Here is a 24,436-nt window from a genome sequence, read left to right on the forward strand (position 1 = left end):
TCCTTTGAACACACCTCCATTTAGCACGTAGCATTTCGCAAAGCATTTAATAGCACTGCATTGTAGTTATTTGGGTTGCACATAACTCCGTGGCAGCGTTTTAGAAAATGCACCCTCCGCTGCATTGCATTCCTTAAGAGGAAGGAGTGTCTCCTTTTTTTTTCTCCCACCACAGCACACTCGCTGCCTGGTGCTTGGCCCGAATTGCTCCCCAACTGTTGAATGAAAGTCAATGGTATTAATCTCGAATGACCCAGGACTGTGCAAGCAGGAAATGAGGAATTGTGTGAGTGGTAAGTGAGGGGGGGAGGAACAGAGTGGTAAAGCATTACCACAGCTACCAACCATGCCAGAGAAAAGCACTTTAAGTGGCAGAAAACCTTAACTGGAGTCCCAGCTTCGTAAGGGCAGAGACCTCAGTCCCAAGCTGTCTCGATATATTCATCTGCATAGTAAGGATAAATAGGGACTAACAGGGTTAAACAGCTGCCCTCGGCCCTAAGTGAAAATACTTTATAAACTGGCGTGGCAGCTCATGCCTATAATCCCAGCACTTTGAGAGGCCCACGAGTTCAAAACCAGCCTGGGCAACATAGTTAGACCTCGTCTCTATTAAAAACAAAACAAAGGCCGGGCGCGGTGGCTCGCGCCTGTAATCCCAGCACTTTGGGAGGCCAAGGCAGGTGGATCATGAGGTCAGGAGCTCAAGACCAGCCTGGCCAAAATGGTGAAACGCCGTCGCTACTAAAAATACAAAAAAAAAAAAAAAAATCAGCCGGGAGTGGTGGTGGGTGCCTTGTAATCCCAGCTACTCGGGAGGCTGAGGCAGAGAACTGCTCGCACCCGGGAGGCGGAAGTTGCAGTGAGCCGAGATCGCGCCACTGCACTCCAGCCTGGGCGACAGAGCGAGACTCCGCTTCAAAATAAATAAATAAATAAAAAATAAAAAACAAAACAAAACAAAAAATTTTTGTAAAGACCCCTCTCGCTCATACCACCAGGGCCGCGCAGGGCGAGAGATCTCCACCTCCCCTGGGAGGCAAGACCCACACCCTCCCAGGTGCGCGAGTTGTGGCTGCGGTTCGCGACCCCGCCCCACTTACCCAGCTGGTAGAAAAGTCATCAATGATTCGTCTGAAACGAATAGGCGCCTGAGATATTCTCCCATTTTATGGGCTAACGCTGCTGTCTGTCTTCGGGCGGCGGCCTCTGGGAAATGTAGTTCCGGAGAACACGGAGTCCTTCTGGGGCTAGGTTTTCCGCTTCCGGTGCTCAGTGGCTAGCCGAATAGCCGTGTTTGGGACCTGGGCTCGGGCTTCTTGCGTCCCCGCTAAGAACATGTCACGGGGCCGAATCGTCCGTATTCTCTCAGCTTCAAGCTCCTCTACTTTTCAACCAGGTCACTAGCCCTTGACTCCTCTTATCAAACTTCCGGAACTGCCACCCCACCAGTGACTCCACAGGCACCAGGGCATGCAACAGGGCTGGGACAGGAAGGCTCTCTTCTTCACCTCAAGCCTGCTGGGCTAACACTTGCGATTTTTACTAGAGTTAACTTTGTAATGTATGTCTCTGACTCTAGAATTTCAAGAGAAGTTCCACTTAGTGACTCCTAAGTGGAAGTTCTAAGATGGCTTCCCAGTGAGGTGATGAAGAGGTTTGAGCTTTAGAGTGCGGTTGCAAAGCTCTTCTCTGACCTGAACAATGGCTGTAGCTGTGGACCAACAAATCCAGACTCCTTCAGTACAAGATCTCCAAATAGTTAAACTGGAAGAAGATTCCCACTGGGAGCAGGAAATTTCCCTTCAAGGGAATTACCCTGGACCAGAGACATCCTGCCAGAGCTTTTGGCATTTCCGTTACCAAGAAGCATCACGACCCCGAGAGGCCCTCCTCCAGCTCCAGAAGCTCTGTTGTCAGTGGCTAAGGCCAGAGAAGTGTACAAAAGAGCAGATCCTGGAGTTGCTGGTCCTAGAACAGTTCCCGACTGTCCTTCTCCAGGAGATCCAGATCTGGGTCAGACAGCAGCATCCGGAGAGTGGAGAGGAGGCAGTGGCCCTGGTGGAAGACTTGCAGAAAGAACCTGGAAGACAGAGGCTGGAGGTGAGCTATAAAAACATAGTTCCGAACAGTTAAAATAGAGGTATGTGAGAGACAGAGCTGCCTTGGGTTACTAGCAGTGTGGGCATACTTCACTATTGATGTTAAACTGGAATTTGCTTATTTCGTGGTCATGGTATCTGCAACTTTCCTTCCAAGTTCAGGCTGACTCTTCAGAGAATGCACAACATTGGCTGCTCTGAGTGTCCGTCCCTGCCATTAAATAAGAAAATTGCTTAAAATGGTATGAGCCTCACTGTGATCAGGGAGGAGCACATGTGACAGGGATGTCTTTTTGGAGAACAGCTCTCACTCTGTAGCAGCCAGCCAGAGGCAAGCGGCTTCGGTGGTCTTTGTCGACATTATTGAGCCTATTGCAAAACACCTGAATTATCCTATGTCTTTTTGCCTAGGGTTTGGCAAGGCAGGTAGGAGCAGTCCCCAGAGAGCTGGGTGGCCAGGATGCAGTGGTCCATGGCCTTATCTCCATAAAGCCTTCCACATGTCTGCCGTCTTTACTGCTGTTGCAGGCTTTTGCATAAGACTGGCTTTTTCCTCTGCTTTTTTTTTTTTTTTTTTTTTTTTGGAAAGGGAGTCTCGCTCTGTCACCCAGGCTGGAGTGCAGTGGTGCCATCTCGGGTCATTGCAACCTCCGCCAACCGGGTTCAAGCGAGTCTCCTGCCTCAGCCTCCCTAGTAGCTGGGACTACAGGCGCCCACCACCACGCCCGGCTAATTTTTGTATTTTTAGTAGAGACTGGGTTTCACCATATTGGCCAGGCTGGCCTCGAACTCCTGACCTTGTGATCCACCCACCTCGGCCTCCCAAAGTGTTGGGATTACAGGCGTGAGCCACTGCACCCAACCTTTCCTCTGCTTTTTTATGTTTGGGATGTTTAAGTTTTAGTCCCTACAGAATTTTGACCACTTCCAGTCCTTGAAGAGGGACAGGATGTGCTCTCAAAGAAGGAGCCCTCAGGATCAGTACTGAGTTCTCTAAACATCCATCCGAAGCAAGCACAGACAGAATCTGTCTGTTCCAGGCAATGGTGAAGTTCACAGCAGAACCAGAGGAACAGTTGAAGCACAGCCCCAAAATAGAACGAACTCTAGCCCGTCCGCAAGAGTGATAAGAAATCGCAGTGTGGGCCCACGCGCGCCGCACGGCCGGGTCGCCGCCGTACCGTGGTGTACGTGCAGAATGCGCAGAGCGAGCGGCACCCGCTTACCCTGCGCTCCTCCGCAGCCTGGGCCGGGCCGCCCGGGACGCTGAGGCGGTGGCGGCAGCCGAGGGGGCCGGTCTTGCGCTCCGCAGGCTCGCGCGCCCGAGCCCGGGTTGCCGTTCGCCGCACAGGCCGCGTTCTCTCAGCCCACGGCGGCGATTAGGCGCTGAGGCGGCCGCCTGCGCTGCGCCGGAGCCTAGGACTCGGAAGCGACCCGGCCGAGGGCCCTGGGTGCCAGCCTCCTTGAGTCAAGGGTAGCGGGTGCATGGCGCAGTGACGGCCCCTATCTCTCTCTCCGCTCCCCAGCCTCGGGCGAGGCCGTCCGGCCGCACCCCTCCTGCTCAGCTGCGGTCGCCATGGCCAATGACAGCTGCGGGCCCGGCGAGCCGAGCTCGAGCGAGCGAGACCGGCAGTACTGCGAGCTGTGCGGGAAGATGGAGAACCTGCTGCGCTGCAGCCGCAGCTCCTTCTGCTGCAAGGAGCGCCAGCGCCAGGACTGGAAGAAGCACAAGCTCGTGTGCCAGGGCAGCGAGGGCGCCCTCGGCCACGGAGGGGGCCCTCACCAGGACTCCGGCCCCGCGCCGCCCGCTGCAGCGCCGCCGTCCAGGGACCGGGCCCTGGAGGCCAGGAAGGCAGCGAGGCGCCGGGACAGCGCCTCCGGGGACGCAGCCAAGGCAAAGGCCAAGTCCGCGGCCGACCCCGCGGCGGCCGCGTCCCCGCCTCGCGCGTCCCCGGGCCGGACAAAAGCCATGGCTGCTTGTTATCCGGTCAATGGAACGGGTTATGTACGTCATGTTGATAATCCAAATGGAGACGGAAGACGTGTGAAATGTATTACATTACGTTAAAGAACGGGATGCCAAGGTAAGTGGAGGTATACTTCGAATTTTTCTAGAAGGTAAAGCCTAGTTTGCTGACATTGAACCCAAATTTGATAGACTGCTGTTTTTCTGGTCTGACCATCGCAACCCTCATGAAGTACAACCAGCATATGCTACAAAGTACGCAATAACTGTTTGGTATTTGATGCAGATGAGAGAGCACGAGCTAAAGTAAAATATCTAACAGGTGAAAAAGGTGTGAGGATTGAACTCAATAAACCTTCAGATTCAGTCAGTAAAGACGTCTTATAGAGCCTTTGATCCAGCAATACCCCACTTCACCTACAATAATTGTTGACGCTATTTGTTAATTTGTGAATACGAATAAATGGGATAAAGAAAAATAGACAACCAGTTCGCATTTTAGTAAGGAAACAAACAACTTTGTGTGTTGCATCAAACAGAAGATTCTGACTGCTGTGACTTTGTACCGCATGATCAACTTAGAATCTGTGATTGCTTACAGGAAGAAGATAAGCTACTAATAGAAAATGTTTTTACCTCTGGATATGAAATAAGTGCCCTGTGTAGAATTTTTTTCATTCTTATATTTTGCCAGATCTGTTACGTAGCTGAGTTAATTTCATCTCTACTTTTTTAATATATGTCAAGTTTGAATTGGAATAATTTTTCTATGATTAGGTACAATTTATCAAAACTGAATTGAGAAAAAATTACAGTATTTCTCAAAATAACGTCAATCTATTTTTGTAAACCTCTTCATACTATTAAATTTTGCCCTAAAAGACCTCTTAATAATGATTGTTGCCAGTGACTGATTAATTTTATTTTACTTAAAATAAGAAAAGGAGCACTTTAATTACAACTGAAAAATCAGATTGTTTTGCAGTCCTTCCTATCTTACACTAATTTGAACTCTTAAAGATTGCTGCTTTTTTTTGATATTGTCAATAATGAAACCCAATTGTAAAACAGTCACCATTTACTACCAGTAACTTTTAGTTAATGTCTTACAAGGAAAAAGACACAATAAGAAGAGTTTAATTTTTTTTTTTTTTTTGAGTCTTGCTCTGTTACCCAGGCTGGAGTGCAGTGGTGCATTCTCAGCTCACTGCAACCCCACTGTCTCCCAGGTTCAAGCAATCCTCCCGCCTCAGCCTCACAACTAGCTGGGACTACAGGCACATACCACCATGCCTGGCTAATTTTTGTATTTTTAGTAGAGACTGGGTTTCACCATGTTGCCTAGGCTGGGGTTTAAGTTAAATTTTTTTAAAAACTAAAGTGACTGGCACTAAGTGAACTTGAGATTATCCTCAGCTTCAAGTTCCTAAGATAAGGGCTTTCTTAAGCTTTCAGATACATGTATCCTCTAGATGTAGACAATAATGTCCCATTTCTAAGTCTTTTCCTTTGCTTCTCCTTAAGTTGATTGTACTTCCAAATTTGCTGTTATTTTTTTTCCTAATACTGTGATTTATTTGATCTACAGACAGGAACCTTGTCTCTGTTGAAGAGCATCAAGGGAAGATTACATACGCCTTGAAACCGAAGTGTGTTGTTACCGACTTAATGTGCAGTAACTCCTCAGATATCTGTTAAGGCACTTCCCAGATGTGATGCCAGTCTTCTTACCTGTACTGAAAGATGTTTAGCTTAGAAAAAAAAAAAAGTGCAAAATCAGATTTAAAAAAAAAAAAAGTAGCAGCAGTGTGGGGAGGAAGGAAGTACCCTTCTGTGGGGAGGGCATAGAAGTACTCTGTGAGTGCAGAAAGTGGGGTAGAAGGTACAGCTCCCTTCTACTTAGAAGATTGGTGTGTTGACCTCAGGCTGACCGCATGAATTTCTGGGATCCTAAATGGGCACCTCCAAAGTGAAGAAGGACCTCGGTTGGCATGTTTTGTAAAACAACATAGGGGAGCCTGTAGCACCTTTCCTTATGTGAGTCAGAGATTACCGGTCCCAATAGGTTACAGTTGGAGACAGATTTTAGGTCTGGTTGGTGGGAAGGGCAAAAGGGTAGGGTTAAACTAAGGTGCAGTAATCCTTAAAACAGTTAAGTGTCCCCAGACCAATTTAGATGACTCAGGTGTGTTATCAAAACTGAAAAACAAGGCCAGTTATGGTGGCTCATGCCTGTAATTCCAGTACTTTGGAGGCTGAGGTGGGTGGATTGCTTGAGCCCAGGAGTTCAGAGATGAGCCTGGGCAATATGGTGAAACTCCGTCTCCTCTAAAAATACAAAAAAAAAAAAAAAAAAAATTAGCCGGGCATGGTGGCAGGCACCTGTAGTCCCAGCTACTCAGAAGGCTGAGGTGGGAGGATCACCTGAGCCCAGGAGGTTAAGGCTGCGGTAAGCCAAGGTCACGCCACTGCACTCCAGCCTGGGCGACAGATCGAGGCCCTGTCTCAAAAAAACAAAAAGCAAACAAAAAACCTGAAAAACAAAATCATAAAACCCTGACAGTCAGTACCTAGATGGATATGGAGGGGAAAACCTAAAACTTTCATTTTAGAAACGTTTCATTTTGGCTGGGCATGGTGGCTCACGCCTGTAATCCCAGCACTTTGGGAGGCAGAGGCGGGCGGATCATGAGGTCAGGAGATCGAGACCATCCTGGCTAACACAGTGAAACCCCGTCTCTACTAAAAATACAAAAAATTAGCCGGGTGTGGTGGTGGGCACCTGTAGTCCCAGCTACTCAGGAGGCTGAGGCAGGAGAATGGCCTGAACCTGGGAGGCGGAGCTTGCAGTGAGCTGAGATTGTGCCACTGCACTCCAGCCTGGGCGACAGAGTGAGACTCCGTCTCAAAAAAAAAAAAAAAAAGAAATGTTTCATTTTGGTTTTTCACCAACCTTCCTTTGATAGGACAAAGCAGATACTAAGAGGGGGAGGAAAGGCTGTTCTGTGTCTGAACCCAGTTGGGCTAGTCCCCAAGAGGAGCTGAGAGCCATGTACTCTAATGCCTCCCTTTTCTTCCCCCAGCCCTGCCTGATGTGGCTCTGGGAATTCCTGCAGAGAAGAGCAGGGGTGGCCAGGAGATAGTGAGCAGCTCCCAGGTGAGTCAGCCATTTCTCTTATATAGATCACCTTTTCTCTCTCTCTTTTTTTTTTAATAGAAATATAACTCTTGAGGCACAGCTCAGTTTTCTCCTTTTGGGAAAACGATTAAGTCATTTGTCTTTACAGATTATATTTCTTTTTTTTTAAATTTTCTCTTTTTATTATACTTTAAGTTCTGGGGTACATGTGCAGAACATGCAGGTTTGTTACATAGGTACACACGTGCCATGGTGGTTTGCTGCACCCACCAACCCATCGTCTACATTAGGTATTTCTCCTAATGCTCTCCCTCCCCTAGCCCCCAATCCCCCTCAGGTCACCTTTTACTACCCAAGTGGGGCTCCTGCAACCAACTCTCTTGCCGCTCAGAAATTCCAAAAGAATTTTACCCAGCAGGGAGGCCCAGTAACTTTACAATTTAGGCTCCAAAATTTCATCAGCCTGCAAAAGGTTGCCCAAATCTCCTTACCCATATGAGGCCAGTGCCATGGCTGTGGTAATGAGGGATTGCATTAAAATTATTCTTTTCTTTGACCCTGAAATCATCAGATTCTACTGATCTGCTTGTTTGCCTTAAAGATACTGGTTACTTCATTCTGTGTCGGGATCTTGCTCACATGGCATGCAGTACTGTGTAGTGGAGGAAAAAAAACAAAAACCAAAAGCTTCAGAGTCCAACAGCCTTGAGTTGAATTCCCAGCCATACCCTGGACTTGCTGTGTAACTCTGGGCAAGTCTGAGAAGCTTCTGGCTCAGTGCATAATGTCAGCTTGTTTCTTTTCTGTCTCCTCCTGCCCGCTTGATTGCATTTAAAAGCCAAAATAATCACTGTTTCATTTCTTCTGTTGTGTCACTTGCCCTGACTCAGGCATTAGAGAGGCATTTTGTTCTGAGGCCATGTGTTTTGAGAAGGGGTGTTGTTTCCTCAGGAGCTAGTGACACCTGGTGATTCGGCTGTGTATATCTCCTAGGAGGCATGGAGGGATCCAGAACCTGGACTGAAGAACCACCTAGAAATAACTCAGCAGAATTCTGAAAATGAGGTCACGCTGGGTAAGAATGCCTTTTTTTTTTTTTCATAGTCAAAGTTAGCTATGGAGTTTCTGTAGTATTCACTACTCCAGACCTTTTTCAAGTTGAATTTTTTTTCTTTTTCCCTATGTCTGTTCTTACGTATTTTTTTTAAACTTTTATTTCAGTAGTGTTTGGGGAACAAGTAGTGTTTGGTTGCATGGAAAAGTTCTTCAGTGGTGATTTCTGAGATTTTGGTGCACCCATCACCCAAGGGTAGTCTTTTTTATCCATCAAGTCTGTACCCAATGTGTAGTCTTTGTTTTTTTCTTTTTTTTTTTTTTGAGACTGAGTCTCATTCTATCACCCAGGCTGGAGTGGAGTGGTATGATCTTGACTCACTGCAACATCTGCCTCCCGGGTTCAAGTGATTCTCCTGCCTCAGCCTCCTGAGTCGCTGGGATTACAGAGATGTGCCACCACGCCCAGCTAATTTTTGTATTTTTTTTTTTTTTTTTTGGCAGAGATGGGGTTTCACCATGTTGGCCAGGCTGGTCTTGAACTCCTGACCTTAAGTAATCTGCCTGCCTCGGCCTCCCAAAGTGCTGGGATTACAGGCCTGAGCCACCACGGGGCCCCAGTGTGCAGTCTTTTATCCCCTCAGTCTGTACCCAGTGTGTAGTCTTTTATCCCTCACCCCCCTGCTCCCACCCTTTCCCCCTGGGTTGAATATTTCAAATCTATTTCTTCCTTAAATCTTACTCAAAGGAAATCCAATACCATAGTCAGTTTCACCAAGGATGAATTTCTTGACCCAGAAAGGAAAGCTCATTTTAGGGAGATGGTCAGTTTAGGTATGTGTCTGAATTTTATTTAAGATAGATGAACGTGGATATATAGTTATGCATTTGGGCCTGAATTTTTTTTTCTAGTTGTTCTTTTCACTGAGCTTTCCCAAGAATCCCCCCAGAATTAAAAAAAAAAAATTACTATCTCCTCTCCCTGGCATATAAAATGGTTGGGATTAGATTTACCAAACCATTACATCTCCCTTTTGTCTGCCTGCAAACAGATTTTCCAATCCATAGGCCCAAAGTGAACTCCCACGTGGAGTAGGATGAAAACCCACAGCATCTAGATCTTCAAATTCTGGAGAAAAAGAGAGTGTGAAAGACTGCTCAGTGGCTGGGGTGAGAGTCAAGTCTGGCCAGGTGCTAATCTGGAGAAAAGCCAAGACCTGGAGCGAGCTGGAGTGGCAGGCCCTGGAGGATGAGAAGGTGGCAGGAGTGCACTGGGGATACAAAGAAACCAAGATTTTTCTGGGAATTCTCAGAGGCCTGGATCCACGAAAAACTCCGCACCTGCCATCGAAACCACCAGGTGTACCGGATTATGGCTGAGCAGCTGTGAGAACATGGCTTCCTGTGGACCCTGGAGCAATGTTGCTATCGGTTCAAAAACCTCCTGACCGACTACTGCAAAGCCAGGAGCACCTACACACCAGGCACCAGTGTCTTCTATGATGAGATGGATGCCCTGTTGAGTCTTGGGGCACTTTCTAACACCTTTGATGCCTTAGAGGTGGTAGGAGGCCTTCTTTGGGATTGAGAGGATTCCAAAGGGAACCAGGGCATAGCACTAGAAGATGTGGCGGGATGGTAATGAAATAGTGGAGGAGTCTCAAGAGGAATCCTGGAGGCTTGGTCCCCAGGCCTTGAGGTGGAATCCCAGTGGCAACTCTCCCCCACAATGGACCTCAGAGCAGTGGGAGCGACGCAGTCCTGTGGGAAGCATTCAGGCTCAGAATCAGGAGATGTGATTATTGTCCTGGCTCTGTTATGACTAATTTGGGTCTGGAATGGCCTCATCGGGGGAAAAATTGGTGACAACTTTAAGAAATACTGTTTATATCCCGTCCTCAAATATTGCTTGACTCAACCCTCTACTGAACCAGTAGTCCAGGGTGGCTCACAAAGACCACTTTGAGGCTCTTGCTCTGCTCTTTAGCCAAGGAGTCTCCCTTCCTGCCTTCAGTAACAACATTACAGGAAGAGAGGAGAGAAAGGTAGGAGTTAAAGATCCAGTCATTTGTTTCCATCTAAAGTGCCCTATAAGCCGGGCATGGTGGCGCAAGCCTGTAGTCCCAGCTACTCGGGAGGCTGGGGCAGGAGAATCACTTGAGCCCAGGAGTTGGAGGCCGCAGTGAGCTGTGATCATGCCACTGCATTCCAGCCTGGGCGACAGAGTGAGACCCAGACTCAGCTGAAAAATAATAATATTATTAAAAGAATTTAAAATAAAGTGTTCCATAGATGTGAACCCTGCGTAGATTATACACACCAGTCTGCCATTTAAAAGGTTTGTTGTTCTTGGGCAACCTCTTTAAATACCCTTAGCCTCCATTTTCTCATCTGGACAGTGGACATTGTGATGGTTTCTACCTCCCTGGGCTGTTATGAGGATCCTGACACAGTATTAGCACTTGGCAAACGTTAGTTTTCATTATCATCATCATTATAATTATTATGAAAATAGATAAGGGCATTATCCTGTACCCTCAAAGGAGTAAAAGGGGGAAAATGAGTCATTAAACTTTCTCTTCTGGGAACTAGACCTTCTTGAGAGGCACTATCATTCTCATTTCACCTGTCACTTCCAGACATGGGAGCAGAAAGTGAATTTCAGAACTCCATGTCCCCTCCTGCTTTTCTCTGAGCAGGACTTCCAGTTCCCCAGCCAGATGGGGTCACAATGCTGCAGAAAAGTGAAGAGCTTTGGAATGAAGATCTCCCGGACTTCAAGGAGATTCAGAAAACGTCCAGTGCAGGTGGGAAATGAATGGGAGCTAGCATTCCACCAACAAAGTCAGCCCTGGGATTCTAAACTCGGACAAGCCAGCACTGGTTAAGGGCTGAGGGGAACCAGGCACTCAGTGCACCCAGTTTACTATTCTGTGGTGTGGAAAGCACAGGACTTGAGAAGCAGGTGGCACCCAGGAAAGCCTGTTCCCCTAAGTAAGTTTGAACTTTAGTTACTTGAAAAAAGGTATAACTGAATTATGAGTGTTTATGATTTTATCTTTATTTTATTTTTTTTGAGATGGAGTCTCACCCTGTCACCCAGGCTGGAATGCAGTGGCACAATCTCGGTTCACTGCAGCCTCTACCTCTCAGGTTCAAGCAATTCTCCTGCCTCACCCTCCTGAGTAGTGGGGATTACAGGTGTGCCACCACCATGCCCGTCTCTAATTTTTATATTTTTAGTAGAGACGGGGTTTCACCATGTTGGCCAGGCTGGTCTTGAACTCCTGACCTCAAGTGATCCACCCACCTTGGCCCCCCACAAAGTGCTGGGATTACAGGCGTGAGCCACTGTGCCTGGTCTATCTTTAAATTCCTATCTGAATTTGTTTAGGTTTTTTAAATAAAAATCTTTCTTTTTTTTTAGAGACAGGGGTTCACCATGGTGCCCAGGCTGATCTCGAACTCCTCCTGGACTCAAGCTATCCTCCCACCTCAGCCTCCCAAAGTACTGGGATTACAGACATGAGCCACATGCTTGACCTGAATTTTAACTGCAGTTAATTATCACTTAACCAGCGAATTCACACAGGAGAAATCCCCTGGCCGGGCGCGGTGGCTCACACCTGTAATCCCAGCTCTTCGGGAGGCCGAGGTGGGTAGATCACAAGGTCAAGAGATCAAGACCATTCTGGCCAACATGGTGAAACTCCGTCTGTACCAAAAATACAAAAATTACCTGGGCATGGTGGTACGTGCCTGTAATCCCAGCTACTTGGCAGGCTGAGGCAGGAGCATTGCTTGAACCCATGAGGTGGAGGTTGCAGTGAGCCGAGATCACGCCACTGCACTCAAGCCTGGGTGACAGAGCAAGACTCCATCTCTACTACAAAAAAAAAAAAAAAAAAAATTCAACCACCTTAGGAAGCCTCTCATTTATGTATTTCTAGCATGTAATTAGTGTTGCACATGGGAAGGGCTAATAGATGCTGACAGAGTGAACAACTTATCTATTTTGTGTGTGTGTGTGTAACAGGGTCTCATTCTGTTGCCCAGGCTGGAATACAGTGGCATGATCACAGCTCACTGCAAACTTCAACTGCCAGGCTCAGGCAACCCTCCCACCTCAGCCTCTTGAATAGCTGGGACTGCAGGCTCATACCACCACAACCAGCTAACTTGTATTTTTAGTAGAGACAAGGTTTCGCCATGTTGCTCAGGCTAGTCTCGAACTCCTGGACTCAAGTGATCCACCTGTCTTGGCTGCCTACATTGCTGGGATTACAGGCATGAGCCACCATGCCCAGCCAAATTTTTTTTTTTTTTTAAGGGAAGGGATCTTGCTATGTTGCCCAGGCTGGTCTCAAACTCCTCAGCTCAAGCAATCTGCCCACCTCAGCCTCTGAAAGTGCTGGGATTACAGGCATGAGCCACCATGTCCAGCACACTTTAATATTCACTATGGGCCCTCAAAAGGAAATGTTTGTGGGGCCACCAAAAGCAAATGTCTCTTGAACCTAGTCACCTGGGGGGACAAGTGTGGGAAAGTGCACCTGTGTTCCCATGAGACCCACTCAAGAGGAGCAGAAATCCTGTTTTGCTATTTCCTTAATTGCTACTAGGGCTGGGATTTTTTCATGTTTATTGGCCCCTCTACATTTTTTTCTTTAAAAAAATTCACAAAGCATGTTTATATTTGTTAGCTCTTTTGATTCTCCCTATGATAGTGTGAAGACAGGGACAAAACGCTACCATTTCACACTCCCAGATCTAACAATAGCTACCAAGTAATTATGCCATGCGTTTCTTCTAACCTTCGCAATATCACTACGAGGTAGTTCTTACTATCCTCATTTTACAGATAAGGAAACTGAGGCTAAGTGACGCTGGCAGACTTGCCCAAGGCCACACAGCTGGTAACAGGGACTGGTAGTCACTTGAGTCCTACATGAGCACCCTTGCTACTACAGCAGCTCCTCCCCTTTCTAGAGGCCTAGATGGAAAGATGCTGGTGTCAGCGGGGGGCACAAAGGTCCACCCAGTCCCACACATGCAGAGAGGCATCATTTGTTGCTGATAACAAAGTCCTTGGTCTGCAGGGATGCCAGGTGTGGGTGGTGACCAAAGGAGCAGGGTCCATCCCATTTCCATCTAGGAAGATGTGACCTCTGTGAGTGAAGAGAGGTTCTACTTGGCTCCGTGTTCCATCTTGGCTCCGTGTTCCATCCCAAGATGTGGCATCATAGACCTGGACTGTACCATCAAAACCTGAGAATACAGAAAAGAGAGGCTTGACAATGAGTCCCTAATTTTATTTTAAAATAATTTTCTTTCTATTTTTAATAGAGATGGGGTTTCACCATGTTGACCAGGATGGTCTTGAACTCCTAGCCTCAAGCGATCCTCCCATCTCAGCCTCCCAAAATGCTGGGATTACAGGCACCCAGCCCCTAAAATACTTTTTATAATTTGTTCTATGGTACCAAAACAGGCTATTGGATGAGGAATCAAGGCACTTAAAAGGCTAACCACGGGCAAGTAGCATCTGCCCTCAGTGTTGGCAGCTGATGACTCCGTGGGGCATGTAACCATGAGCATCCGTTGTGCACCTGTTATGCGTGAGGCTCGAAGGCTAATTCTGGACAAGTATTAGCTCTTTTAATCCTCAGAACTGTATGACACAGATACTGTTATTTTACCCAGGAAACTGAGGCTTAAGAGACTTCTTCAAACCTTTTCAAGTTGCCCCAGAGTCCAGTCCCCTACCTCTGGGTCCCTTTCAGCAGATGGCCTTGTCTCCTACTCGATGGGGGAAACAGAAGCCTTTGGAGAGAAATACCTTCACGTCCCTGCACGATCTAGCTGCACACACACTCATTCCATCCTGCCATCTTCCTGGTACTGAAGAGCCAGCCCCTCTACCTGAGCTTGGCTCTTCTGTTCTTTCTGGATCCTGGCATTTCCAATCATCCTTTCTTGCTCTCTTAATGATTTTTTTCAACCCCCACCTGCCTCGACGGATCCTTCCTGTTGGCTTTTAGATACCCACATTAAGTGCCGCAAGCAACTAGCTACCACCAGACCAGAACCAGGGGCCTGCTGACCTAGCTGGCTTGCTACTTTTTTTTTTTTTTTTTTTTTTGAGACAGAGTCTTGCTCTGTCGCCAGTCTGGAGTGCAGTGGCGTCATCTCAGCTCACTGCAACCTCTGACTCCCGGGTTCAAGCGATTCCCCTGCCTCAGCCTCCCAAGTAGGTGGGACTACAGGCGTGCACCAAAACACCCGGCTAATTTTTTTTATTTTCATAGAGACGGGGTTTCACCATGTTGGCCACGATGGTCTCGATCTCCTGACCTTGTGATCCACCCGCCTCGACCTCCCAAAGTGCTGGGATTATAGGTGTGAGCCACCGCACCCGGCCAACTTGCTACATTTCAAAAGGCAAGTAGGCTGAGAAGTACCCTTGAGGTGCTGTCCCTGCTGCTTTTTTTTTTTTTTTCTTTTTTTTTCTTTTTGAGACAGTCTCGCTCTGTTGCCCAGGCTGGAGTGCAGTGGTGCAATCTCAGCTCACTGCAAGCTCCGCCTCCCAGGTTCACGCCATTCTTCTGCCTCAGCCTCCTAAGTAGCTGGGACTACAGGCGCCTGCCACCATGCCTGGCTAATTTTTTGTATTTTTAGTAGGGACGGGGTTTCACCGTGTTAGCCACTGTCCCCTTTTCTTTCTGACCCAGCCCGATGTCTGTCCCAGTGTCTTACTGTCTGCAGGCCCCTCCACCAACCTGAGACCTGAATTCCTGCTAGGCTAGGAAAGGCCTGCTGCCAATGTGTGGAAGTTTAGTAGCCAGGGTAGGAAAAGGCCTGCCACTGAAGAACCTGGAGAGTTCGAATTTCTCTGTGAGCAACTTTAACTCCTGGAGCCAGGTTTATCATGGTGCTGGAGGCTCCTTCCTGAGCACCCAACAGTCTCCTGGAAGAAAGAGATCAGATAACAAGACGAAATCCTGCTCGGCAGTACCTGAGATGGCCAAGCAATTCTTCAGGCCTGGGGCCCAAGTCACTCGCAGCAGCTCTGGGTCAGGGCTAGGTACGGATACTGGGCACTGGACTGAGCTCACAGGATGGCAGAGATCCCGGGGGTCAAGAAGACAAAGACGCCCATCTGAGCCAAGGCTGGCAATGCTGGGCCCAGGGCCCTGGCCCCAGCTCCCAACTTCAGCACACCATCTCTCTCCACCAGACCCAGGGCCAGGGCTGCGATTCTCCAACGGTGCCCACTTCTGCCGGGTGTCAACAAGCCCCAGCCGGCCTGAAGCACAGCAGAAGGCAAAGGTGTCTGCATCTAGGACCTGCAGGCTACTCAGCTCCTCACTGTCACTGACATCTGGAAGACCGACAGCAAAGGAGACAAGCGGCTGGAGGCAGATGGGTCTGGCAATTTGGCAGGGCTGGCTGGTCACAGGTCCCTTCCCACCAGTCCCAGGCAGAATAAATCACATCTCCCTTCCCACTCATCTCACCATTGTCTGCTCAGCTGGTTGGGTGCTGGTCCCTGGGACTGCCTAATCCTGCCCCAGCATAGGAGCCCTTAGAGGCCAGGGCTTACCTCTTATTCACTGTGTATCCCCAACACCTGGCACAGAGAGTTGAACTCAGTTTTTATAGTGGCTGAGTTGGGCTGGGGGGTGATGCCGGCTGGAGCAGCAAGCAAGGGACAAAGTACCACGGTACCTGAGGTGTACGTGGTCTTCCGGGACTCCAGATCAACGACCTGCAGACTTCGGAGCCTCGCCCCATGGAGGACTCCGGGTGCCAATGTGGAGAAGACGGCCACCCTAGGCCAGAGACTCTCCTCTTTCTCATGCACAGCAATGGTGCTGACAGCTTTAATGACATCTAGGGGAAAACGAAGAGGCCAAAATCCAGAACTTTAATGAAGGTTTGAAACATGACAGGCTGCCAGCTGTCTTCCCCTGTACATTTAGAAGATCAAGGAAGAAAAGGAGCTGCCGGCTGGCAAGAGATGATGTTGAGACATAACTACTCTGGCTTATGTTTACATTTTTGAAACCATCAGAAACATTTCAATTTCTTTATTATTTGTCTTATAAACTGTTTTTTGCAAATGGAAGACAATGCCATCTCAAAACCCAAAAAGCAATTCTGGCTTTTTATACTTTTGTGGAGAACAGGTAGAAGACAAGAAAAGGAATGAACATGCTGCTGATGTCACTTACCCCTTCAGCGACAAGAAACAGGTACAGAATTCATGAACTGATATTATTTCTTCAAAAACATGTTCCATGACCTCGAGTGACTTGCTAAAGCCTAGCAAGTACAGGTCACATTACAGATGTCATTGTCTTGTAAGGTGGACAAGAAAGTCCACATCTTTTTTACACTGAATGGAACATCCTTGGCTTTGAGTCAAGTTTTGTTTTGGTTCTTTTGTTTTTTTGAGACAGAGTCTCACTCTGTTGCCCAGGCTGGAGTCCAGTGGCACAATCTCAGCTCACTGCAGCCTCCGCCTCTCAGGTTCAAGAAATTCTTCTGCCTCAGCCTCCTGAGTAGCTGGAATTACAGATGTGCACCCTCATGCCCAGCTAATTTTTTTGTATTTTTAGTAGAGACGGGGTTTCGCCATGTTGCTCGGGCTGGGCTCAAACTCCTGGTCAGGTGACCCACCTACCTTGGCCTCCCAAAGTGCTGGGATTACAGGCATGAGCCACTGCGCCCAGCCAAGTTTTAGTTTTTATTTGGTTGTCTCCACCTGCTTGGTTAGCAGGGAGGTTCTCCTCTCTGTATTCTACATCTGAGGCTTCTCTTAATATATGCTTAATGCTGCCAAAGAGGTGAGCTCACCTGAGCAGCCTAAGCTCTGCTGTTGCCACTGCCCCTGCCTAGGGAGAGTAGTTCTCTGGATGAACTCAATTCCAGGAGCAGGTTACAGGAAGCTCCATTTGGGGCTTGGATGCCATGCTATGGTTGCTAATTCACCTTGTCTGCATTAAAGTAGATTAATTCCCACCTGGCTCTGAGTCTACTACTACTTTTTTTTTTGGAGACGGAGTTTTGCTCTTGTTGCCCAGGCTGGAGTGCAGTGGCATGATCTCGGCTCACTGTAACCTCCGCCTCCCAGGTTCAAGCAATTCTCCTGCCTCAGTCTCCCCAGTAGCAGGGATTACAGGTGCCTACCACCATGCCCGGCTAATTTTTTGTATTTTTAATAGAGACAGGTTTCACCATGTTGTACAAGGTGGTCTTCAACTCCTGAATTCAAGTGATCCACCCAGCTCAGCCTCCCAAAGTGCTACAATTACAGGCATGAGACTGTCCCCAGCCTGAGTCTCCTTCTTAACTGGCTCAGATTAGGGGACAGGGGTGTATGAGTCACACTTTCCTAGAACCCCAAACCCCATCAAGTCAAATTCACTCACCACTGTCCTCTGCAACCTGCCACACCTGCAGATAACAACCTGGAAGGCCACTGGTAACCAGCAATCTATTCAGAAAAGACAAAATCAGTCCAGACCATGGGGAGCTTATCCACACAGGTCCCTTCCCCTTTCCAGCACACTTAGCTTGGGACTCCACTTCCCATATCAGGACATCTTACTGCAAGATCATCAAGGCCAACCACCCTCATTTCACAGATAAGGAGCAGGCTCAATCAACTTTAGGGAGACTGAGCCCAAGCTTCCATGTGTCATGATGGTCACCTACAGAGGACACAAGTATGGGGCCAAACACAACCTGACCCAGAGACTCTTGGCCTCTCCCAACTGAGCAATTATCACCCAAGAGCAATAGAAGAGCATCTTTCTGTCCCGTATCTATTCCCTGGAGCAACTCCGGTAGAACTGTTACTTACATTAGTCCAAGGGCTCTGGGGGGCTATGAAGCCACAGCAGTGGTTTCTTTGTATTCTAAATCTGTGTGTATCTGTGTGCACACACTTGTGCACTCACATGTGCCTGTGTGCTGAGGGGGTGGGAATGGAGATGAGGAGGCAGAATACCCCCAGGCATTTGCAGCCATCCCATCCCATCCTGTGTGGATGGCTGGATCACAAAATTGACCATACCTGGTATGTGGCACATGCTTTAGATCAAAGATAGACCTGTCTGAAAATCCTCCATGGCGCACTTTGAAATCTCTTTCTGGGAATAAGCCCTAAAATACAAAGGAGTAGCCAATCAGAGCCAGCTCTTCAAATGAACATTTCAGAGGAACTCTAAGTGAGGAGTCAGGTCCTAGCCTGGCAGGAGGCCATGGAAGCCACTCAGCTGGTGAAAGGGCGTTGGTGTCCTGGTATTTGGCAATGTTGGTCTCAGCTGCCTACACGTACAGCTTCCTTTTTCCTTTGCACATCCAAAACCCTTCTCCTAGCCTTTCACTAGCCCCTTTTACTACAGCACAAGCATTATACTCCAGGCCTTCCTAGAGAAGCCAGAGAAGCTTAACAGCTTCATCAAAGAGAGCAATGAACACATCCCCATTTCTCCCTCCATTCTCCCGCTGGAAGTCAGGTGGGTTCCTCTAACGATAAAAATTAACAATTACAACTTATCAGTATTCACTGTGTCAGGCGCAGTGTTTAGGGCTTTATCACATTTAATTCTTACAACCTCCTATGATATAGGTACTATAATTATCCCTATTCTACAAATGACACAACTAAGGCACAAGGAGCTTCAGCCACTTATATAAGGTCATACAAGTATTAAGTTGTGAATTTGAACCAAAGTCTGTCTAACCCAAGTCCACACTGTTAGCCACTAGGCTCTACTATCTCCATGTAAGGAACCAGAGGCAAGGGAAAAGGAGGTGGCCATAGAAGAAACAAGGCAAAGCTGGTGGTGAGCGGGGAGGTTAAATCAGTTCTCACAGCTAGGCTCAGTCTGGGTGAACCCCTGACTCAAGCCTGACTGGAGATGGGGAAGATGAAGAACACTAGGTGCTACCCTATAGCTTCTGTAGCCTCTGGGTTTTATGAGTACAAATTTGGCTTTTTTTTTTTTTTTAACTTTTTTTTGAGACAGAGTCTCACTCTGTAGCCCAGGCTGGAGGGCAGTGGCGTGATCTTGGCTCACTGCAACCTCTGTCTCCCCAGTTTAAGCTATTCTCCTGCCTCAGCCTCCTGAGTAGCTGGGACTACAGGTGTGCACCACCACACCCAGTTAATTTTTGTATTTTTAGTAGAGACAGGGTTTTGCCATGTTGCCCAGGCTGGTCTCGAACTCCCAACCTCAGGTGATCCGCCTGCCTCAGCCTCCCAAAGTGCTGGGATTACAGACATAAGCCACCACACCTGGTCTTTTTTAACTTTTTAAATTTTGTGAAGAGATGGGCTTGCCATGTTGTCCAGGCTGGACTTGAACTCCTAGGCTCAAGCAGTCCACCGCCTCAGCTTCAAAAAGTGCTGGGATTACAGGTGTGAGTCACCATGTCAGTCTACAAACTTGGCATTTTTCCTAAGCTTTCCCTCTTGAGATTATAATTCAGTATGTTTGGGAAGTATGCTAGGAATATGCATTTTAGCCAGCACTCCTAATGGCCCTGGTAGGGTGGTCCTCAGGCTACTTTGATAAAAACTGGGCCACATCTGCATGGGATCTAGCCTCTCCCAGGCTGAACAATGTTTTTCTATGTCCTTGTCTAGCCTCTTAGCCTCTTCTCTTCTAAACAATTAGACTCAACTCCATAACATGGTGAGGCCCTAAGATAAATTTATTTACTTATTTTTGTGAGACGGAGTGTCATGCTGTTACCTAGGCTGGAAGTGCAGTGGTGCCATCTCAGGTCACTGCAACCTCTGCCTCCTGGGTTTAAGGGATTCTCTGGTGCCTCAGCCTCCCCTGAGTAGCTGGGATTAAAGGCATATACCACCACACCCGGCTAATTTTCTTTTTCTTTTTCTTTTTTTTGAGACGGAGTCTCACTCTGTCACCCAGGCTGGATGCAGTGGCTTGATGTTGGCTCACTGCAAGCTCCACCTCCCAGGTTCAAGCAATTCTTCTGCCTCAGCCTCCTGAGTAGCTGGTACTACAGGCGCATGCCACCACACCCGGCTAATTTTTGTATTATTAGTAGAGATGGGGTTTCACCATATTGGCCAGACTGGTCTCGAACTCCTGACCTTGTGATCCGCCCACCTCAGCCTCCCAAAGTGCTGGGATTACAGGTGTGAGCCACGCGCCTGGCCAAATTTGTTTTATTTTTAGTAGAGATGGGGTTTCACCATGTTGGCCAGGCTGGTCTTGAACTTCTGGCCTCTAGTGATCTGCCCACGTTGGTCTCCCGCTCCCAAGGTGCTGGGATTACAGGCATGAGTCACCGCACTCGGATTGTTTCCTATTTCATTAAATAATTTAAAACAAAACAAAATAAAAAAGGCCAAGTGCGGTGGTTCACACCTGGAATCCCAGCACTTTGGGAGGCAGGAGGATTGCTTGAGCTCAGGAGTTTGAGAACAGCTTGGCAAGACCCCGTCCCTACCAAAAAATACAAAAATTAACCAGGTGTGGTGGCACATGCCTGTGGTCCCAACTACTCGGGATGCTGAAGTGGGAGGATGGCTTGAGCCCAGGAGGCAGAGGTTGCAGTGAGCTGAGATCGCGCCACTGCACTCCAGCCTAGGTGACAGAGTGAGACCTCAAAAAAAAAAAAAAATTTTTTTAAGAAGTTTGGGGCCAGGAGTGATGGCTCATGCCAGTAATCCCAGCACTTTGGGAGGCCGAAGCAGGCGGATCACTTGAAGCCAAGCGTTCGAGACCAGCCTGGCCAACACAGTGAAACCTCATCTCTACAAAAAAATTTAACAATTAGCCAAGCATGGTGGCACATGCCTGTAGTCCCAGCTACTTGGGAGGCTGAGGCGGGAGGATCACTTGAGCCTGGGAGGTTTAGACTGTAGTGAGCCAGGGATCGCGCCACTGCACTCCAGCCTGGGTGACAGAGCAAGCCCTTGTCTCAAAACAAAAAGGAATTCAGGAGCAAACACTCAAATTCCTGCCCCCACATGGCCCTTCAAGGTCATCTGCCTGCATGCCTCACTCCTCCCTTGTCCTCTGATGACTAATACCATCCCCTGGACTCCTGATCTATCCTCACCTTCTATTCCTGGAAGCAGGAGCGTGTTCCCTGTGATATTCCCTCATTTTCACCCTCTCCCTCTTCAAGGGTTACTTTCCCATAGCTTCTAACTCTGCTCAAGCCTCTGTGTTTAGGAAACCTTCCCTCAGATCTGTGTTTCCGACTAGTTGCTGCTTTAGCTTCTTCCCTCCCTACATTTCGTGACTCTGCTTCCTCTTCATTTTTAGTCTTTGGGCCTGACCACCACCAGCAAAAATCCTGTAGCAGAGGTCACCAAGAGTTTCCCAATTGCCAGTCTTATGAATGAACTCAATTCCTCATCTGAATGATTTTTTTTTTTGAGATGCAGTCTTGCTGTTGCCCAGGCTGGAGTGCAGTGGCACGATCTCAGCTCACTACAACCTCCGCCTCCCGGGTTCAAGCAATTCTCCTGCCTCAGCCTCCTGAGTAGCTGGGATTACAGGTGTGCGCCACCATGCCTGGCTAATTTTTGTATTTTTAGTAGAGACGGGGTTTCACCATGTTGGTCAGGATGGTCCCGAACTCCTGACCTCATGATCCGCCCAACTCGGCCTCCCAAAGTGCTGGGATTACAGGCGTAAGCCACTGCACCTGGCCTTCAATTCTTCTCTCAATGATTTTATTGGAACTCTAGACAGCTACTAACTCTTTTTTTCTTGAGAAGTTCTCTTCTCTTGGCTTCAGAAACATTGACCTTTTCTGAGATTCCTCTTACCTCAGAGGCTGTTCTTTCTTAGTATTCTTTGGGGAGGGGGGGTGCATCTTCCTGTACTCATCCCTTAAATGTGTTCCCTGAGGTTCCGTCCTCACTATATTCTCCTCACTCCTTATATACCACACATTCACTAGGTGACTTTAATCACTCTACGCATTTCGACCGCCCTCTATATCCTTAATCGCTCCCTAAATCTATTTCTGATAAAGTATAACTGACCTCCTCCTCTGATAGCCCTCTGTAAACCACGAGACATTCTACAGCATTTATCTCTGTGCATATGTGCCTCCCTCTGTTAGACTAGAAGGGCAGGCCTAGCGCTTTCTCTCTTTCTAGTATCCAGGACAATACCTGGTAGATAACAGGAGCTCCACAAATGTTTAATAAATAAATAAAAGTTGACATACTCAGCATTTATATTTTAAGTTACCTTGTTTTCCTTTACAGAAAGTCTGAGAGGTAATTTCAGATGAAGAATTTCATTCTTTTTCAGGCTTTCATAGCCAGCAACAAAGACTCCTGGAAAAAGAAGCAGAGGTAGCTGTCACAAATTGTTAGAAAGATTGCAGACCATGCAATCCCCCGAAGTAAGGATACATTCCTTCACTGTGCAGCCTTGTATGGAGGAATTGAGTACCTGGTTGTGTCTTTTTCAGACAAGGTCTCGCTGTGTCAGCCAGGCTGGAGTGCAGTGGTCCGATCACAGCTCACTGCAGCCTCAACCTGCCAGGCTCAAGTGATCCTCCCACCACAGCCTTCAGAGTAGCTGGGATTATAGGCGTGAGCCACCATGCTCGGCTAATTTTTGTATTTTTTGTAGAGACAGGGTTTCCTTGCTTAGGTTAGTCTCAAATTCCTGGGATCAAGCAATCTGCCCGCTGCCTCAGCCTCCTGAAGTGCCCAGCCTGAAGACTTTTTTTGTTAGCCACGCTGGAATACAGTGTCGTGATCTCAGCTCACTGCAACCTCCACCTCCTGGGTTCAAGTGATTCTCCTGCCTCAGCCTCCCCAGTAGCTGCTGGTACACAGGTGTGCACCACCTCGTCCGGCTAATTTTTGTATTTTCAGTAGAGACGGGGTTTCACCATGTTGGCCAGACTGGTCTCGAACTCCTGACCTCAGGTGATCCGCCTGCCTCGGCCTCCCAAAGTGCTGGGATTACAGGCGTGAACCACTGCTCCCGGTCAGAGATCTTAATAAGAGGAATATTAGTGCTGATGGGGCATCAAATTGCTACAAGTGACTCTCAGGTGCCCAGAAGAGTGGGTTGGGTCCCTCTAGGCTTAGCTCCTGAAACCCAGCTCAGGAGTGAGATTCCCTCTCCTTCAGGGCTAGAAAGGTATACCACCTTTGTCATCAATCCATTCAAGGACTCGAGTGGCTCCTGACAGGTCGAATGCATAGAAATCCTGGTACCTGCACAAAAGGGACACAGAATCACACGATGCACAGCACTTCACAGCTCAAAGAACTCCAAGATGGCAGCCGCATGGTTCAGTGGCCCAAACTCTGGAGTCAGGCAGACGTGGGACTGAGTTTACTTCCCATTTTACTCCCTGTTTCTGGGACCAGGCCAGTCCCTTGATGTCCCTGAGCCTCGGTCCTCATGTGTGGACGTCCCAGGGTACCCAGATTTCCCAAGGTTGACGTGAGGAATCAATGAGATCATCTGTGTTCTGAGCTGAACTCAGAGGCTGGCGCAAACTAACTGGGCACTGCGTCTTCACAAGCGCGGCTCTTACTAGTAATCTCACAACGCGCGCACGCAGGAAGGAGCCATTTCCTAGAGATGGGGGCCTAGGCCCAGGCGGAGTCCTCCACGGTGGCGAGCCCCGAGGCCACAGCTGGCCCACTCTGCACCAGGATCCCCAACGTGCCTCCACCCACACCCATCCGCCCGCCAGGCAAGCTCCAGGCCCAGCTCCCATGTCCCAGCCCCGTACGATTTACAAGCGCAAGGATTCCACCAGCCAGTCGTCCCCAGGATCCATGGCAACGACCGCTTCCGGCGTCTCACTTCCGCCTGCGAGCCTTCGGGGGCCGCGCGGCTCTCGCGAGATGTGGGCAGGGCCTCCCGTTAGGGGCGGGGTTAACAGGCTGAGCTGCGGCCCGGCATGGGTGGGTTACGGGTTTTCTCCGCGAAAGCTCCGGGAAAAGTGACCTGAAATCGGGACTTTCCCGCTGTCAGCTCCAAGCAGGACCTGAGGACCAAATGATCGCCCGTTTTAGGGCCAGGTGTTTGCAGCCCAAGAGAGGGGCAATGAATGCTCCAAGGCCAGAAATAATACAGGACCGCCCGGTTAAATTCGAATTTCAGAAAAACGGTGAATAATTTCTTTCTTACGAGT

At 48.4% G+C, this 24,436-nt stretch overlaps 1 protein-coding gene and 2 pseudogenes across 7 annotated transcripts, besides 5 other annotated features; 2 read left to right on the forward strand and 1 right to left on the reverse strand.

Moving 5' to 3' along the window:
- The first annotated feature begins 1,264 nt into the window (after positions 1-1,264).
- SCAND2P (SCAN domain containing 2 pseudogene) lies at positions 1,265-12,268 on the forward strand (annotated as a pseudogene). 2 transcript variants are annotated; one of them, NR_004859.1, is made up of 5 exons: positions 1,265-2,103; positions 3,629-4,186; positions 7,152-7,225; positions 8,201-8,282; positions 9,313-12,268. The product of NR_004859.1 is annotated as an SCAN domain containing 2 pseudogene, transcript variant 1 (transcript). The 2 variants fall into 2 exon arrangements; NR_003654.2 differs by lacking the exon at positions 3,629-4,186.
- Positions 1,649-1,698: an enhancer, noted in NCBI's record as "active region_9983". NCBI's record gives its function as "activates an Ori minimal core promoter by ATAC-STARR-seq in GM12878 lymphoblastoid cells {active_cell/tissue: GM12878}" and the evidence as "EXISTENCE:reporter gene assay evidence [ECO:0000049][PMID:35858748]".
- Positions 3,193-3,542: a silencer, noted in NCBI's record as "silent region_6769". NCBI's record gives its function as "represses an Ori minimal core promoter by ATAC-STARR-seq in GM12878 lymphoblastoid cells {active_cell/tissue: GM12878}" and the evidence as "EXISTENCE:reporter gene assay evidence [ECO:0000049][PMID:35858748]".
- Positions 3,305-5,850, forward strand: EGLN1P1 (egl-9 family hypoxia inducible factor 1 pseudogene 1; annotated as a pseudogene).
- Positions 4,013-4,092: a silencer, noted in NCBI's record as "silent region_6770". NCBI's record gives its function as "represses an Ori minimal core promoter by ATAC-STARR-seq in GM12878 lymphoblastoid cells {active_cell/tissue: GM12878}" and the evidence as "EXISTENCE:reporter gene assay evidence [ECO:0000049][PMID:35858748]".
- WDR73 (WD repeat domain 73) lies at positions 9,090-24,088 on the reverse strand. 5 transcript variants are annotated; one of them, NR_130945.2, is made up of 9 exons: positions 24,039-24,088; positions 23,437-23,504; positions 22,519-22,607; positions 18,342-18,430; positions 17,695-17,759; positions 15,989-16,153; positions 15,778-15,890; positions 15,276-15,641; positions 9,090-13,528 (listed from the first exon to the last, which is right to left on the reverse strand). NR_130945.2 is itself a non-coding variant. In NM_032856.5 (8 exons), exons 1-8 carry the CDS (start codon positions 24,077-24,079, stop codon positions 13,275-13,277), a joined length of 1,137 nt encoding a protein of 378 aa, NP_116245.2. In that variant the 5' UTR covers positions 24,080-24,088; the 3' UTR covers positions 9,090-13,274. The 5 variants fall into 5 exon arrangements, 1 of the variants encoding a protein (NP_116245.2); NR_130946.2 differs by lacking the exon at positions 15,778-15,890 and having other exon boundaries at positions 24,032-24,088; NM_032856.5 differs by lacking the exon at positions 15,778-15,890.
- Positions 23,441-24,408: an enhancer, noted in NCBI's record as "H3K27ac-H3K4me1 hESC enhancer chr15:85196867-85197834 (GRCh37/hg19 assembly coordinates)". NCBI's record gives its function as "activates a minimal SCP1, AML or CMV promoter by ChIP-STARR-seq in naive H9 embryonic stem cells {active_cell/tissue: H9 hESC(naive)}" and the evidence as "EXISTENCE:reporter gene assay evidence [ECO:0000049][PMID:30033119]".
- Positions 23,835-24,074: an enhancer, noted in NCBI's record as "active region_9984". NCBI's record gives its function as "activates an Ori minimal core promoter by ATAC-STARR-seq in GM12878 lymphoblastoid cells {active_cell/tissue: GM12878}" and the evidence as "EXISTENCE:reporter gene assay evidence [ECO:0000049][PMID:35858748]".

This window comes from Homo sapiens, chromosome 15, assembly GCF_000001405.40.
Source record: "Homo sapiens chromosome 15, GRCh38.p14 Primary Assembly".
Classification (NCBI taxonomy): domain Eukaryota; kingdom Metazoa; phylum Chordata; class Mammalia; order Primates; family Hominidae; genus Homo; species Homo sapiens.

What these genes read in the sequence shown, in the direction of transcription:
- WDR73 (NM_032856.5), bottom strand. Translation starts at nt 24,079, where the DNA reads ATGGATCCTGGGGACGACTGGCTGGTGGAATCCTTGCGCTT. An exon ending in CTGGTGGAATCCTTGCGCTT is followed by an intron (nt 23,505 to 24,038) that starts GTAAATCGTACG and finishes CCTTTTGTGCAG; the next exon opens with GTACCAGGATTTCTATGCAT. An exon ending in TTTCTGTAAAGGAAAACAAG is followed by an intron (nt 18,431 to 22,518) that starts GTAACTTAAAAT and finishes TTTGTATTTTAG; the next exon opens with GGCTTATTCCCAGAAAGAGA.